Raw genomic sequence first — 1,803 nt, forward strand, 5'->3', positions numbered from 1 at the left:
ATTAATCCATCTGCCAGGGGACAATCTGAAAAAGAATAGAACTCATATCAATTAATTCATCCTACTTTGAAAGTCTATATACAGACTGAATTGTGGCACGCCAATTATTAATGATTTAAATTTTATGAATTCTTATATGCCATTAATAATTTAAGGTGCAGGAAAACAAGGACAACAGCACAAATTGGCACGTTGGTGGCACAGCAACAAAACTTGCACCTAACACAGGGCAACAGAAGAAAAGCTCTGGATCACATCTTGAGAAAACCAGCATTATTAATTTGTGAACTTTATGTATTTTTTTAACATTTTCTCATAACAAATTCCTGATTATACGTATAGCATATGAAGGCATTAAGTGGTCGTTTGGTTTAGGTGCAGGTCTCCTAAAATTTATTAGCTTTTCTTCCATAAGCATTCACCTGGAGGTCAGTTATTAGAATTTTAAAGCAAATTGGATTTATTATTTTTGAAAGTTGAATGTTTGTTTTTACATTTGTTTTAAAATTATTATTTTTCTCTTCATATCTAGAAAATCACGTTTACCCAAACTAGGAGGGAAAAAATAACTAACATACATATAACTTGGAAGAGCAAAAAAGAATTATAACTAGAAAGGCAGAATTTAAAAGTAGAAACAATACAAATCCCCAGAATTCAATTTTACTTCAAAACAGTTTTTGTGGAAAGACCAAAATTCAGCGAACCTAATTTTTAAAGGCTTATTTAAATGCAATGTTTGCTTTTAACATACTGTGTGACCATATGCACATCCCTGTGCCTATTTTAACTTTTTTTCTGTAAAGTTCAGTTAATAAATTATAGTTTATTGGCTTGTAGTGAGAATGTAAAAGTGAAGTACAGTGTTATATTTCAAAGCCGCCACTTTTGGTGTTAGATTAAAATTCCATTAAAATTGGGAGAGACATTTATTCTTTCTAGTTTTCTGTGTCTTCATCTGCAAAATGTTGTGAGAGTTTGAGATAAAATATGTGAAGTACCTGGCACACAGTAGGTATTTAGTCAATAGATCTATTTTTTAATCTTGTTATACAAGACTTTGAAGGAAGATTAATAACCTATGATAAGTACCCTCGACGGGCAGTTTTCTACTAATGTTGAGGAAAAGATAATGTTATGCAAATAACAATTATATATTTTTATGAAACCATATAATTTTTACATGTACCTTGAATCAAACTGTTAGGACAAATTAAACTCCAGGATGAAAAGGTATTTTGTCAAACCTTCTGCCATTCATCAGAGTCCCCATTTCAATTATGAATTTTATCCTACAGCATCTGTTGGATATTTTTCTTTTGCACTGAAAGTTTTAGAATTTACCAGCAAAAGCCTATTTCGTGCCACAGATAGAAGACATTTTAGCGACAGCCTTGGATACCAAGTACCTATAAAAGTTAGTTTGGTAACAATAAGTCCAAATAGATACTTTGAGCATCTTTGAATCCGGGGTACGAAGCTCCATAAACAAGTCTGCTTTTGGACCTGTGTCAAGAAGTGAATGGAACTTAGAGAGATTGAATATAGTGGATACTTTAGAGGCATGGAAATTAAAAACAGGAAGAGATATTCCCTGTGGAGATAAAACAGTGAGATAATGATGGAAAAGGTCTCTAGCAGCAGAGAGGCACAGTGAAAAGCAAACAGGTAGCTCATTAAAGGTTGAAGGTTAATTGAGGATGTCTATTCTTATGGTTTACAACTATGTATATAACATCTTGCTAGATGAGGTGTGGATACAATGCATGGCATTCTTCATTTATTTACCTATGTGAAAAGTCA

Source organism: Homo sapiens, chromosome 13, assembly GCF_000001405.40.
Source record: "Homo sapiens chromosome 13, GRCh38.p14 Primary Assembly".
Taxonomy (NCBI): domain Eukaryota; kingdom Metazoa; phylum Chordata; class Mammalia; order Primates; family Hominidae; genus Homo; species Homo sapiens.